The sequence below is a fragment of the Homo sapiens genome, chromosome 18 (assembly GCF_000001405.40).
Source record: "Homo sapiens chromosome 18, GRCh38.p14 Primary Assembly".
Taxonomy (NCBI): domain Eukaryota; kingdom Metazoa; phylum Chordata; class Mammalia; order Primates; family Hominidae; genus Homo; species Homo sapiens.
The window spans coordinates 38,713,003-38,728,963 of record NC_000018.10 but is presented as its reverse complement, the minus strand read 5'-3'; the positions used below and the strand labels follow the sequence as shown (position 1 = coordinate 38,728,963).

General features: G+C 40.2%; 1 long non-coding RNA gene across 2 annotated transcripts in view, besides 1 other annotated feature; it reads left to right on the top strand.

The window, feature by feature from the left end:
- LOC105372076 (uncharacterized) overlaps positions 1-15,961 on the top strand; it is a 38,317-nt gene that overhangs the window by 4,339 nt on the left and 18,017 nt on the right. Inside the window, exons 3-4 of one of the 2 annotated variants that reach the window (XR_935396.3) lie at positions 610-767; positions 6,534-6,648. This is a non-coding gene — a long non-coding RNA (uncharacterized LOC105372076). Of the gene's footprint in view, positions 1-609; positions 768-6,533; positions 6,649-15,961 lie in introns of those variants that run through there. The other variant, XR_935395.2, reaches the window with a different exon arrangement.
- Positions 9,759-10,320: an enhancer, noted in NCBI's record as "H3K27ac-H3K4me1 hESC enhancer chr18:36298608-36299169 (GRCh37/hg19 assembly coordinates)". NCBI's record gives its function as "activates a minimal SCP1, AML or CMV promoter by ChIP-STARR-seq in primed H9 embryonic stem cells {active_cell/tissue: H9 hESC(primed)}" and the evidence as "EXISTENCE:reporter gene assay evidence [ECO:0000049][PMID:30033119]".

Below are 15,961 nucleotides of genomic sequence, written 5' to 3'. Positions count from 1 at the left end.
TGGCAATAAGTATTCACTGGGTACCTGCCATGAACCATGCCCTACATTTCCTTCTGGATCAAAGTCATAATACTTTTAGGGAATGTGAAAAGGATATTAAAATAGTCTTAGGACCGAAATCCAAGACTTGATTGTATTCAACCATAAAATACGGGAATCTAGAAAAGAGAAGAGTCAAGAAAATGTAGAAATGGAAAGGAAATCAGTGTTGGGAAAAAAATGTAAAAAGCAAAAGACGCAAAGATTTAGGAAGAAATATCCTTGAAGTAAGAAGTAAACATGATTGAAAACCCAGTTTTTCAATCTTCCATGCCATAGTTTATGAGAATACTGCATAATAATACTGAGGGCTTGTAAACAAACAGCCTTGGAACCCACGAAGTGTTAAGGGAGAATCATGGATTAGCAGAGATTGTTCCTTCTTGCTCTAACACATCACTAGAGACACCACTCACTCAAAATCACTGGCTACAATCATGAAGGAAATGAGGTGTGTATGTGTTTGTTATGAGGTGTGATTTCCAGGCCCTGACTAAGCATTGTTGCTGAGAAACAAATGGACAAACAGCTTGTTACTTTGTGTCTCTTCAGTTAAGCAATTTTTTTCAGCATGCTTAAATCAAGTACCAGACAAATCTCCCTGATCAAAGTGCAAAGGTGAGCTGATGTGTCAGAAGAAGGGGTGAAATCTGCAGCACTTCTGTTCAACATGCCCAAGAGGAAAAACAAGCAACAGCGACAGCACCAGAAGAGGAAGATTCCTCAAGGTAAAGCTCAATGCATATTGATCATACTCTTTACTATTCATTATCATCCCTTCCACTCTTTGTTGGTTGAGTTTGAGTACCAGTTGGAGTTTTGATCTCTAGGTTTTACCTTCCTATGTCATGAATCATTTTCAGGAAAGCTTTAAGGAAATATTCAGCAACTGAAATATCTGAAAAAAAATACTTCTCTTTGTTTTAATTACAGTCCTCACAATGTGAAAAATATTCACCATCAGGTTGTATAGTGAGATTGTGACCATTGTGCTCAAATTTGTCTGCAACACATCTTGCCATTGCTGGAAGAGACAACTCTCTTTTTTAATCAGTTTTGTTCCAGGCAGAACTTCTTCTCTTTAGTTTGAATGAGTAGGGTATTTTAGCTCATTCTGTACTCTAACTCTGGAACATTCATCTCAATCCCTTGATCAACATACATCTTACTCATCCTGGTAGTCAATTTCTTCTTGACTCTGTAGAAAGATATGCTCTAAGGGGCTGAGTAACAAGCCTTTAACTTCTGTGGGCCGAGATTCCTAGCCAGAATCCCTGTTCAGTACCTCTGATCTGTAAACCATGTCTATGCAGTCTTCTATTTCTAAACTCTCCTTATTCTAGATTTGTATTTCTTATTTGAAATTACTTTTTTATCAAAACCATTTTAATATGGGCCCCTCGTTTTCAACATGAAGAGATGGTAAGTTTAGGGAATTCTCTATGATTTGTCAATGAGGTTAAAGAAAGCAGAGACTGTATTTGTGAGTTCTAATACCTAAAAGTAGGTGATATGTGTACTTGACAGCTAACCAGTGCTGGTCCTTATAAATTCTAGAGAAGAACAATTATAAAGTCTATTAGTTTCTAGTCAACCCTCTATTCTCAAAGCTTATTGTATTTCTAGTCAATGAAAACCTTCTGCCTGATTTGAGGAGTTAGCATGTGAAAATATTTGCTGAACCTGGTTCCCTGATGGGAAATACAATCCACTAGAATCAAATGTATTTGTGAAACATAAACACATTTTCATTATCTGTAGCTTATAATCAAAGCAAAGTTTCTTGCTTTGACAAACATCCTATTCACTTTGGAAACAAAAGTGAAGCACAATTTTTCCATTTATTAATTGTACATCCCTTCGGCAAACATTAGCTACCAATTTGCAGTTGAATCTTAAGTCAATCTCTAGCCCTAAAAGGCACTGCTCAGTTTCCAAACTCTTAGGCTTCACATTCAGAGTGGGCTATAATCCTGGCAAGATGCATTTTTCCCATCAACATCCATAATGCTTCCCTAGGTAGGAATTTGTCAACGGAGGAATTTGTAAAGTCACCATCTTCACAGAGGCCCTAGAGAATGAATTTAGCTGATGTGTGTAAAGACCTCCGAAGGTGAAAAATGGGGCAGGATAATGCCAGAGGGACTTTCTTGGCAGTGTTGGGGTATCTTCCATGAATAAAACAGAAGCAATTCTCATATGACCAAGAGAGAGGGCTATTTTCTGAAAGAATTACCAGACATCATATGTGAAGTTCAAGAAGCAGTTATTTAGATGAGATACCTTTACAATGGCCCATATCTACTCATTTCAAATTTTAAAATGTTTTAAAGCAAGAAGGAGATATAAAACCTTGAAACTTAACAAAAATATTAAAAGGCCCAAAGGAAGAGATTGCAAACCTTTGAAGATACTAATCCTCAATTCTAAAGGGAGAAAAGGACTGCTAACAGTCTTACAAGATGTCCCATCTATAGAAAACTACTTCAGCCCTAGAAACCTTGCTCTGTTACATAAATTATTTTGTAAAGTTAGAAAAAGAAAATTCTACCTAAACCTAGCTCTGATGTTATAGTTTTTCTTTTGATGTACATGTCTTCTAAATATTAGACAGTGGGCAAATAGGGAATTCTTTTATACTGTGAAATATATATATACACAGTGGAAACATATATATATATATATATATATATACATATATATAGATTTTTTTCAATCAGTAAGCTTAGTAGTTTATAAATAGGAAAAGTATGAGATTCAATGGAAACATCTACATTTTGGCATCATTTATTGGCACTAGGACATATTTTAATAGGAAGTATTACGTCAACCAATCAGTAATTAATAAAGAAGTAAATAAATAAACATTGCCTCGTTCTTTTCCTTTGAGCACTAATTTGGAACTTTTGATGGCTTTACCTACCAAAACTCCTCCAGTCTCTTTCTTAATTAATTAATGACTTCTGCAGCAGGCTGTCTTTTAAATACAACACTTCAATTCTAGTTGCCAAGCTCTCAGTTTCTTTTTATTTCCTAGAGGATAAACTCTTATGCATAAATTCTTAGCATGCTAGTCACACTTTCTACAATCCAACAAATCCATTTTCCCTTTTACTCCCTTTGCAATTGCTACGTAAATCTGGATTTGGTGCTCTAACAAGCCCTGCATTACCTGACTTCCCTTCCTTGCTTCATACCTACTTCCCCTGCCTATATGTATTTGCTCCCACTTTAAACAATCCTTCAAGGCCCAGATAAAGAGCTCCTTTCTCTAAGCAGTACTCTCAGTTTACTGCTATATAACTACAATTTCTTGCTCCTGTGAAATCATATGAGCCATTGTTTTTACAACAGAACATACCTTGCCTTGTGACATCATGTACAGATATCTTCTATTGTTAACTAATTAAGTTTATGTTCATAGTTTGTTACTCCAAAATGCTGGTGAGTAACTTACAATTAAGAATAGCTTCTTTTTTTCCCCACCTCTCTTTCCTCTTTGTTCATTTACAACTACAAAGGACTTTGTACATAATCAATACTCAAAAACTATCTATTAATTAAGAAGTGTTATGAACTCCAGTTCCCACTCTAGTCTTCATTTTGATCATTTACATGTGAATATTTAGGAGAATGACAGAGCCTTTGAGTGATTCCAATTTCATCATTTTTTGGCTGTTGTGGTTTTTGTTTATGTGATCCTTTTTTTTAAATCCAACTTTTGAAAGTGGTCATTTCCTGCCTAGTGTTGATCACAATGTAATTTTGAATAAAGCACTTTCTCTAGGGTCCTTTGAGCTCTCAAGTAAAAAGCATAATGTAATGCAAAATTTGTACTCTTATATATGTATTCCATTGCTTATCAAGTAAAATCCGAATGATTCACCTATTGGAGTTGCAAATGTGATGCTTGCCAGAACAGTTTTCTTATAACACACATCCACAATTTAACAGATTTAATCATCTGACAGTTTCTCCAGATGTTCTAGATCCTTATTGTTTCATTTAATTTTATTCAATTAAAACTTTCTGTCCTCTTTTTCTTATTTAGTATCCAGTCCTTTATCTGCCAATAGTAAAAGTTTTCAGGATCATGGTCCTATAGAACCTTTTGTGAAGCTTCTACATGTGTCATGTCAACATTACACTGAATCCGTGGAGCATCTTTTTTTTTATTCACAATGGCAGGGAACCAGTGTAGTTACATTTAGTTTTCAGCTTATTCCGTGCAATGCTGGTGAGCTAAGAACCCTGAGGGAAACAGGTCTTTGCTGTAGCTGAGTTCCTTCAGATCCTTAATTTTATAGATTGAAGACTTATAACTACTAGTTGTGAGTACCTCACTACATTGACCTAATAGTAAACAAGTGTAATACAGCACATAAATATTTGAAATCCAGTCTTAAATGAAAAAATATGTATTCTATAATGAATACTTAATTAGGACTGCAAACTGAATATAAGGAATAGAGCCCCTACTGCTTCTGAGACAAAGCAGAGTAAAATGAATTACCATCATGCAGGGAATGATATTAATAGTGTCCAGCTTTATAAATGAATCCAATTTTAAGCCACTTTAGTTGCTATCATACTGAGAAAGAGTGCAACATGTCTAACATATCATTTCCTTTCTGGCAAATGACAAGATTCAAACAGAAAACAATTTTAACTTGCTGATGTTTGCCTGCATTAAATATTTCTAATTACTGAGCACTCACAGTCAAACATCATTCAGAAACAAACGTCAGTGCTCTTTTCAGCATCAGCATGTTGAGAAGAGCCATCTTTTTATTTTTCCCCTTTTACAAAAGAAATAAAGTAGTTGAAGGATTGTTTGGGTGACTTTACAGCATCGGTAATTGTTGGTTTACTCCCTTCAGTCTATCTGAGGGAAACAGTTGATGTTTTACTATATGTGGTAGCTTAGGTTTATGTGCTATGTTTGTTATTCAGATTGTTCACAGATGGGTGAATTCACCAGGAAGTAACATAGCAAAGAAAGATGCCAGATTAGCCCAGGAAATACCATTTCCACCTGGTAGGAGCAGTGGCCGTTCTGGTGATTATTGTAGTAACGGGAATGATAACTATATAAAATTGAACCTAAAATAAATCTATTTTTCAGAACTTTTTGTTTTGGTTGGGGGGATGGAGTTTCGCTTCTGTTGCCCAGGCTGGAGTGCAATGGCACGATCTCTGCTCATTGCAACTTCCGCCTTCCAAGTTCAAGCGATTCTCCTGCCTCAGCCTCCCAAGTAGCTGGGCTTACAGGCACCCGCCACCATGCCCAGCTAATTTTTGTATTTTTAGTAGAGACGGGTTTTCACCATGTTGGCCAGGATGGTCTCGAACTCCTGACCTCGTGATCCACCCACCTCAGCCTCCCAAAGTGCTGGGATTACAGGCGTGAGCCACTGTTCCCAGCCCAGAACTTCTAATTATGACAATCTATTCACCTACTATTGAGATTCTCTATTGTATGCTCAGCCTGTGCTAATCTTTGGATTAAATAGAGAGCTGGCAATAATGGAATTCCAAATTTGGAATTTAAGTCTTGCTCGGCAGAAAAGACCAACATACATGAAAAGTATTGCTCAACTCCACATGATACAAAAATCCTAAATAAGGTGGTTAAGAACTCCATGTAAGGAAGGGATAATCAGCCTCAGCTAAGAGGTATCTATTCCATTGCTGAGACAGGAGGATAGCTCATTTTTTAGAAGTCCCTCATTGTGTTTAACCAGAGCAGGGGCTCAAGGGCTTTGCTCAGTTTGGAAACACTCCCTTCCTCTAAGTCGTCTTACATGATTGTTTCTAGGCAACAACCATATTCTCAAAGGCTTTATATGAGAAGGAAATAGTAAAGAGAAGACAGGGTCAAACTCCTTGGGATCTGTGCAGCAACTTGAACTTAGGGTAGTGCTCAAGGTCCTCTTTCTGAACTATGGCAGGGCTGGAGGAGAGATGTCCTACTGCCTTAACTACCAACCCCCTTCCATTGATAACCTCATTCATGGCTATGTTCAGGGTGAAATCAAGGCCCATACATGCTCTAGTATATAACAGTATATGAATATATATCTTTATATAATACATGTAATATATATTATATAAGTTATATATATGTGTGTGTGTGTGTGTAACTAATATAAGTCAGATGAAACACAAGTTTAGGTCACCCAGATGCCCACCCAGGCTACCCATCAACAAACTCTGCCTCTGTAGATTATCTAGCCTCACATTCTCCCTCAAGCGTTGACCATCAGGAAAAAGTAGATGTATCATTAGGTTAAGGGAACAGGAAGTCCTCAAGCACATTTAATTAAACCACCAAACTCCAAGGCACTAAGACAGTGGGTAGATGGATGGATGAATGGATAGATGGATAGACTGATGGACAGAGGGCGGATGAATGGATGGATGGAGAAAAAGGACTAAATGGATTAACTTCTTCCTGAATTGTCTCTTTCTGAGCTTTACTTTCTCTTCTCTAGCTAGTGTGAAAATGTGAAACCTGAGATATCTCTTGCTTGAGAAGCTCTTTAGTTATTAAAAGAATGACTCTTCAATTTTATGACTACCTTGAATATCTTAGGCAGAAAAAAAAAGACGATAATGACGATTACCATACAGTGAAGACAATGTAAGTCCCAGGCTGTATGCTGAGGGTTTCATTTGTATTTATTCACTTATTGTTCACAATAATTCCATGAAGTAGGTAATATTTTTCATATAATACCCACTTTTGCAGTAAGAAAACTAAAAACAAAATGAAATGTTCAGTCACGTGCCTGAATCATGTAGCTAGGAAATATTTGATCAGATATTTGAACCCAGAAAACGATGACCTTTGAGAACTTGCTCTTATTGCATAGGAATTAGGCTCTTCAAGATGCTAAGAAGAGGCTGAAAACAATACCTACTGGAGGACCTCATATATTCTCACCTCTACTTCTTTTTCATTGTTTCACAAAGCATGCTCCCCCAAACCTTCACTCCACAAAATGCTGACTGATTTTGCCCCTCTCTGCAGATGAGCTCTGGAGGGAGTCAGCCGGCCTGGATAAGATTGTAATCGCACAGATATGTCTTGTTTGGGGAAAAAGCAGTGTCAGGAGGGAAGAATGGATGCTCTCCATCCATGGGCGACACCCCTTCCACTTCATGATATACGGACACCAAAGACACCGTGTATCATGGTGACATGCACTTAAACTTAAAGCTGGTCCAAGCGCTTCTGTGCTCCCCGGGGGAGCTGCCATAAGCTGTGATCTATGGAGAGGGCCCAGGGCTGCTCTCTGCTTGAGTTTGTTCTGTTTAGAGAAGTCCTCCAAATATAATTATTGACTCCACTACAAAGAGGCATTACTTGGAAAAAAATAAGTGATATGCCTCAGAAAAAGAAGGAATATGAAAAAGGAATTTGGTTTTTGTAGAAGTGGCTGTCTAAAATAAAGCGGTATGTTGTAATACAAATGAGTTAGGCTGGGAATCAAAACACCTAGTTTCTGGTGGTTTTCTCACATCAACTTCAGTGACTCTGAACAAGTCATTTTACACTGTGGGTCTCTGTTCTTTCACATGTAAAGCAGTAAAATTAAATGTGTCCTTTAATGTTTCTTAAAGTTGTCTAGAAAAGGAATTTCATTGTTACTGAAAATTAAAGTTCATTTTGTGTCCTTTTGGTATCTTTCCTGTCTAGTACAAGGCAGGCAGAGAGGCTTGTAATAAATATTTGTTGAATTAGGAGACAGGAAAGTTTGCTTATGGCTGCACAGAAAACAGGAGCCATAGGACCCTGACCTTCAGTCTGAAATATACATTTGATAAATCTGCCTCAATTTTTCACTGGACTTACTAGAGTTATTTTTATGAAAAGCCAACAAACCAACAAAATATCTTATATTGTGCTTAAACATAATGATAAAAATGAGGTTCTTGCCATTCCCCAGTGATGGCCTGGAGCCATTGTTATATTCACCAGGGATTGATCATTATTGTTTTGGTAAAGATATTACTGCGAAAGGCAAAAACATTTTTCACAAGTCAGACCAATAAAAATGCTAGAGCTATACATTATATATATATAGTCCTGGATTTCACTGGAGAAGAATGTAATTAAAATAGCTGTTCATCTTACCAGTTCTATTTTATTTAAAAAGATGATGCAATTTAGAATGTAATTTTAAGTTTTAGTGTAAAAATGTAGTTCAATTCTACAAGGCAGGCACACTAATTTTTATAAAATTTAAAATTTTGCTCAATATATAAAAATGTTCTACATCATACCGTGTCTCACAATAAAGTAAGTTTAAAAAAAAAATAACCTTTTTGATGGTTTTATAGATGATAGAAATGCTTGTTCTTTGGTATTGTAAAGAAATAGCACTTGAACATAAATTTAATTTCTACTGCTGTGTCCGGTTTCTGTTGGCTGGAACGGGACTTCATGTTCTGTATTTGTCCTGATTGGCTAGCAACTTAGAACTTTTAAAAGAGGCAAAGGCAGAGGAGAACAAAGGAAGGAGGAAGTAACTTGTGGAATGCTGAGAAAGGTAAGAACACTTTCAAATAAGGAAGAGGAACAGGCTATGAGTTAATGCTTGCTTGGACTAGTATAAGCATGCCAGGGCAAATATTTAGGCTAAATTGTGGGAGCTAAGAACATAAAGTACATTGCTTTCTTTATTATGGCTAGCAGATATTTAAGAATGTTAGCACAGGTCTTTGAATACATTTTGCTTCTAAAAGAAGTTACTATTTATTCCTAATTAGACGGGGAGGAAAGTCTTTGAAGAGGACTCTCTACTTTACTTTTTACATAGGGTTTTTGTTTACTGCTAAACTACCCTTATTTTCAAATCCCCAAAACCATCTACAATATTTTGTTTTGTTTTGTTTTTTTTGAGATGGAGTCTCGGTCTGTCACTAGGCCAAAGTGCAGTGGGTGATCTTAGCTCACTGCAACCTCAGCCTCCCGGGTTCAAGGGATTCTCCTGTCTCAGCCTCCTGAGTAGCTGGGACTACAGGCCCGAGCCAGCACACCCAGCTAATTTTGTATTTTTAGTAAAGACAGAGCTTCACCATGTTGGCCAGGATGGTTTCTATCTCTTGACCTCATGATCTGCCCTCCTCGGCATCCCAAAGTGCTGGGATTACAGGCGTGAGCCACCGCACCCAGCTTACACTGGTTTTAAAGCAGCTGGTGATTTGGTATAACATCCCTGAATTCTGTACCTTACTCTTAAGAAGACTTGCTTATTAAGGGCATTTGTACTGTTGAAGCATTGAAGGTCACATTTGGGATATTTTAGACCAGCTCTATTCAATGAAAATATGATGTGAGACACATGTAATTTAAAATTTTCTAGAAACCACATTTAAAAAGTAAAAATAAACTAGTAAAATTACTGAACTCTCTCTATGTATACTATTTTAATTCCAACATGTAATTTATATAAAAATACCAATAAAATATATGACATTGTGTTTTCCTCTCAAAGCCTTCAAAATACAGTGTGCTTTTCACATTCACACAATACACCTCCGTTCAGACCCACCTCACTCTATGTCCTTAGCAGCCTCATGGAGCCTCATAAAGCCCAGTGCTGCGTCAAATAACAGCTTCTAATGCGAGAAATGCTAGAGTCTGATTTGTTTGTTTATTTGCTTTTTTTTAAAGTTTGTTTTGTTTCACCTATTTGTTTTACATATTGGGTCAATTCTGAGATTTTGTCAGTACAATGTAAGTTTCAGTTATTTTTTTCCTTAGTGTAAATAATTCTGTAGCTGTCCCTTTTACATTCCTTCTCATCCCATTTTTGACAAAGGATTTCCAACAATGGCAGACACTGAATCAGAAGAAAAGAAAAGAACAAAGGGTCTTCTACTATATTGAATGATTAATCTCTCGCTCTCTCTCTCTCTCACACACACACACACACCACACCCATGCATGCACGCACGCACATACCCAAATGAGAGGTGACAGCATGCTGGCAGCCCTTGCAGCCCTCGCTCGCTCTTGGGGCCTCCTCAGCCTTGGCGCCCACTCTGGCCGCACTTGAGGAGGCCTTCAGCCTGCCGCTGCACTATGGGAGCCCCTTTCTGGCCTGGCCAAGGCCGCAGGCTGCTCCCTCAGCTTGCGGGTAAGTGTGGAGGGATAAGCGTGGGCGGGAACCGGCGCTGCACATGCGCTGTGGGCCAGCGCAAGTTCCGGGTGGGCGTGGGCTCCGCCGGCCGGCACTGGGATCAGCCCGCCAGCCCGCAAGCCCTGGGCAGTGAGGAGCTTAGCACCTGGGCCAGCAGCTGCTGTACTCGGTTTCTCACCGGGCCTTAGCTGCCTTCCCGTGGGGCAGGGCTCCAGACCTGCAGCCCTGCATGCCTGAGCCTCCCCCACCCCACCCGCATGGGCTCCTGTGTGACGGGAGCCTCCCGGAATAGCGCTGCCTCCTGCTCCACGGCGCCCTGTCCCATCCACCGCCCAAGGGCTGAGGAGTGTGGGCGCACTGCGTGGGACTGGCAGGCAGCTCCAGCTACGGCCGCGGGGCGGGATTCACTGGTTGAAGCCAGCTGGGCTCCTGAGTCTGGTGGGGACTTGGAGAATTTTTATGTCTAGCTAAGGGATTGTAAATACACCAATCAGCACTCTGTATCTAGCGCAAGTTTTGTAAGCACACTAATCAGCACCCTGTGTCTAGCTCAGGGTTTGTGAATACACCAATTGGCACTCTGTATCTAGTTAATCTGCTGGGGACCTGGAGAATCTTTATGTCTGGCTAAGGGATTGTGAATGCACCAGTTGGCACTCTGTATCTAGCTCAAGGTTTGTAAATGCACCAATCAGCACTCTGTATCTAGCTCAGGGTTTGTAAATACACCAATGGACACTCTGTATCTAGCTAATCTAGTGGGGAGGTGGAGAACTTTTGTGTCTAGCTCAGGGATTGTAAATGCACCAATCAGCACCCTCTCAAAATGGACCAATCAGCTCTCTGTAAAACAGACCAATCAGCTCTCTGTAAAATGGACCAATCAGCAGGAAGCGGGTGGGGCCAGATAAGAGAATAAAAGCAGGGTGCCAGAGCTAGCAGTAGCAACCCGCTTGGTCCCCTGTCACTCTGTGGAAACTTTGTTCTTTCGCTCTTTGCAATAAATCTTGCTACTGCTCACTCTTTGGGTCCACACTGCCTTTATGAGCTGTAACACTCACCATGAAGGTCTGCAGCTTCACTCCTGAGCCAGCGAGACCACAAACCCACCAGAAGGAAGAAATTCCTAACACATCCGAACATCAGAAGGAACAAACTCTGGACACACCGCCTTTAAGAACTGTAACACTCACCGCGAGGGTCCATCAGATCAAGAACCCACCAATTCCGGACATACAAACATACTACTTTTCAATTCTCTGATGAGTGGCAGAGTAGTTTAAAATTGCCACAAAATCCAGGGACTTCTATCAATTCAAGATACCATGAGGCTATGGTAACATCAGCGAATGTATTTTGAATATCTACTACATGGATGGCCTTGTGCAGACAGTAGACGACAGCGAGAGGGGACTTACTAAAATGCTTTTAGAGGTCTATTGGGAGAATTTTTTGCTGGATAATTGGTGAGAAAATAGTCACATTCAGAGCCTACGAATCTAAAACTGGGCTGTACATTCATTGGGAATTCAGAAATTCCAGGCAGCTAAGTGGTCTGATCTAGTATTTTGTAACCATATGTACTTTCCACTTTGTGTGATACTGCCAATGAAATGGCTTCCTGGATCCTGCTAGCATCCGTTTTACATAGGCATAGTGGGGAACGAATGTATCTATTGGCAACTCAGGAAGCCAGAATACAAAGAAGTTTGGTAACTTACTCAAGGTCCCATCCAGGAGATGTGAGACCAGAACCATGGGGCTCTGGCTGCCATTCATTTACTTTTTGTAAACTCTATTTCCGTAATCATTTTTGAAATATTTGTCAGTGGGGAAAGGACTTAGAAGTTTATTAGGATTTAATTAGTTAATAAGTTTAAGAAAACACAATGTTTCCTCTGCTATTTCTCCAGACCAGATACCCCCTCTTAAGTGAAGCTTAACTGGGCACCACTCCCTTGTTGAAAGTGTCTCCTCCTTTGGTGGATCTTTCTGTTAACTCCTTCCCTGCTAGAGAGGCTCTAATAATATTTTAGTGGGCACTCACACATGAGTTAGGTAAAACTGCCCCACCCTCTCCTCCTCTGGGCTGAGTCTGCGCTGAAAACAAGCTTCTCCCTACAGCAGTACACACAGTGTTTGTCATGTAGTAAAGTTTCAGTCCCGGCATGGTTTGACTGACACTGATTAGGAGTCTGGGGAGCTCAGACTTCCACTTTCCAGTGACCTTCTGGTGGGCCTGGCATGAACTTCCCTGTTCCCTACCAGTCAGTTCTCTGTCCCAACATGCTTGTGTTTGGCTTCTCCAATGGCATTTCGTGGAACTCCTTGCTTCTCCTGCTTTCAATGCAGCAGGTAAATGAACATCACACTCAATTTCAGCATCAGACCCATCCACACCTCTCCATTGCCTTCACAATGAGATTCTTCTTCCAGCCCTCAATATGGTTCTATGATAGGGCTGCTTATACAGATACTTGATGTGTTTGTCAAAAGGGGGATGCCCTAAACACACAGTGCCTATATTTCAACTCAGCATTTGGCTACACTTCTTAGATTATTTTGTATAAATATGTTCTAGTTGTAGCTGGCTGAAGGATGGGATCAACACACCAGCATTAACCTGAAGAGAGATCTCCCGTGGCCTGACACTAAGCTCTGCCCATGGCCTTGACCTGTTCATCATTCTCATCACTTTATCATTTGCAGGTTGAATCATCATTTGAAGTGTGTTTCAAAAAGGTCATTGTCCCAGAGAGCCAGTATTGCTTGGAGTTGTATAGTAGCAGTTAGGTGCAGAAATGGAACCAGAAGTGCACATACTGAATCTGGAAATGGAAATTTCAGTGGTTTCCAGTTGATTGGAAACTTGTTCCCACAGAGTATACCAGCTCAAACATGAAGAAGTAAACAGACTGCCCAGCAGGCAGATATACCTGGACATTCTTCAGGTGGACAAGCCAAACCCTTTATGAGCATACCTTGGAGCTGGCTTCTCCACCAGTTTTCTACATCTTAGTTAGTGATGTTGTCTTCCATACAGCTCCCCAGTCAGATATCTGAGTATCATCCTCATCTCTCTCTCTCTTTTCCCTACCCTCAGCTTATCACCTGACCTTCTCAATGTCTCACAAATCCACCACAAACATGGGAAAAGGACAGAATCAGGACAACAAGTACAGTTTGAAAAAGCTCTAAGTATGACCCAGATAACTCACCCACCTCCAGTTACCTGGATTCAGAAATGCAGTATTATGGTATGTCATCTCTGCAGGGACCATTCCTATTTAGCGACCCAGCCTTTCCAAACACATTTGGGTTATGTAATAATACAAGTAAAAACAGAGACTTGAGGATCAACTAAAAATCTAACACATATTTCTATTGCCTCTGAGATTTGTAAAAATATTTGTGAACAGGAAATTATATGAGGGATTTTGAACCCTCAACCCAATTAAAGGTTAGAGTGAGCCCCTGCACCTCAGAGGTAATGGCGTTTGGGAGTTTGTATCATGGTAAGAACCACCAAGTGGAACTTTTCCTCTCTGGTTGTTATCTGCTTGTTGAGTTCCAATGTATGGCTTGGGGCTGAGGGGAATGCACAACAATACAGAGAGCCCTAGAGGCCAAAACACAGTCGAGCTGTGCAGACCTCACAACAACTCAGCCAGCCAAAGAACTGGAGAAGAAAATGGCCTGAGGAGGTGATAAAGAATATCTGAGCCCTGGTGTCCGGAGAGAGTAGAAAGGGATTTGGATACATCCCGGCCCTGTTTCCCGAGGCCTTTGTCTCTGTCACCCGGTTTGTGGGGACCTGGATAGGCAGTAGCCATACTTCATGTGGCAGAATGAACAATGTAGGCTGAGGGACAGTTGGCAAAACCTTGGCAGAGTTTTTGATGCTTATTTGAAAACCTTCACCCCAGGCTCAGACCCTAACTTGGATCTGCTGTTCTCCTGTAAAACAGATGAACTTGACACACATCCAGCTTCCCTCCACATACGCAGTTGGTTCCACAAGGAGACTAGGGCTCACAATCATGGAAGGATCTACCACCAGAAAGCATTAGAGAGCCTCGTCTCTTGCAGTCAGAGATGTTAAGCAATGACAAACCCCATTTTACCTCTAGGAAGTTGCTGCTTAACAGAATTACAACTGATTCCTGGATGTTCTGAAGAACGAGGCCAACAGGCTTATGCACTGTAATACTTTCTGCACTGAGGATAAAAATAATTCGCCAACTTCACTGAGATTCAAAACAAGGGTCCCGTATATCTGAATGCATGGCCTCATGCATGCAGCAGCTTCCCTAGAAGAGCTTGTACAGGAGGTCCCAGACCAGAAAGGTCTCGCTGGAATCTGAAGGTCCACTTCTCTGGCAGTCTGTGACCTTTTCTCAAAAATAATGCTTTAAAGCACCTGAGCCAAAATGCATAGAATTACCAAAGAGACCTATTATTTTAAAAATTTATCCACAAACACCTTTTTCTCTCCGCAAACATTTTAGGAGCATCAGAACTACTGGGAGGGTCCATGGTAATAAAATAGTTTGAGGTAAAAAGAAAAATAAACTATGTATACAGCTGAAATCATGTCTTAGGACTCATCTACTCTTGCAATAACCATACACAACCCTGCCAGTATGCACAAGAGAAAAGAATCCATGAAGCTACCTACACCTTCTGCATTCTAAAGTCACCAAGAGTCGGAGTGGGAAGACAGTCGCATCTGTAAATGAACAATAGAGTCCTTCTAGGGGTGAAATCCTAATCTGTAAGAGTTCAAGCTGACCACTGAGGGCCACGTGGCTGACACATGAGAGGAAAGAAGAGGAGAGGCAAATAGATCTTTTACTGTAGGACCTCACTGCCTTTGTGACACAAATGACAAAAAGGGGAGTTTTGGAAGCCTTGGGAAAAATAGCTTCCACGGCTGACGCTGGGTATCAAGTAATTGCTTAGATCAAGTATTATGCCGGGAGGTCCAGTTCCCCACCCCATCCTGTCTATCCCTGTGTGGGTGGACACTAATAATGAATAATCCCTCGTGGAAGAGGCAGTAACCAACAGTGCCACTTTTCTTGAATTTTCTATAGGGAACCATCTCAAATTGTTGGTATTATATATTACTTTGCTCATACTGCAGCTTGGTCCTAAGTTTATTCTTCTTGAGTCCTGTGGTCTTGCAATTGTTTTTAAGACCATAAAGTCCTCTTAAAAAAAAAACTTGCTGACCCTCTGTTTTTATGTATTTAGTTAGTTGCATTTCATGTATGTCCTGATGTGGTATTAGATCCACTCAAAATAGGAATCATAAAAACCTTCCTTTATATTAGGACAGGTAATTTCATTTTCCTAAAATGAAAGCCAGTCCCTTTACTGTAACCCCCAGCACACACATATTCCTGAATTCTGGCTTTGCTGTGAGTTGGAATGCTCTAAGGGAGCTGCCATCTACAAAACCATAAACCCATAAACAAACTCTCTGAACACCAAGGATAAGCTTTTTGTTATTCTCCTTTTTTTCTGTGGGTTTGGCTATTGAATTGCAATGACCACTGTTTCTTTTAAATGCACTTTATGCTACTTCCCATAACTGCTTATTTTTATCATCTCTTTTCACTGATAGAAGCTTCCAAAATCACTGCTTCGGCCCGTCCCTCTGTTGCCTCTCCCACAGTGAAGCACGGTGATTTCTCACAGTACCTGCTCAGGGAGATGGAATAAGGAGCTATTACAGCTTCAATTGGAAACTGTGGAAAAATCAGAAG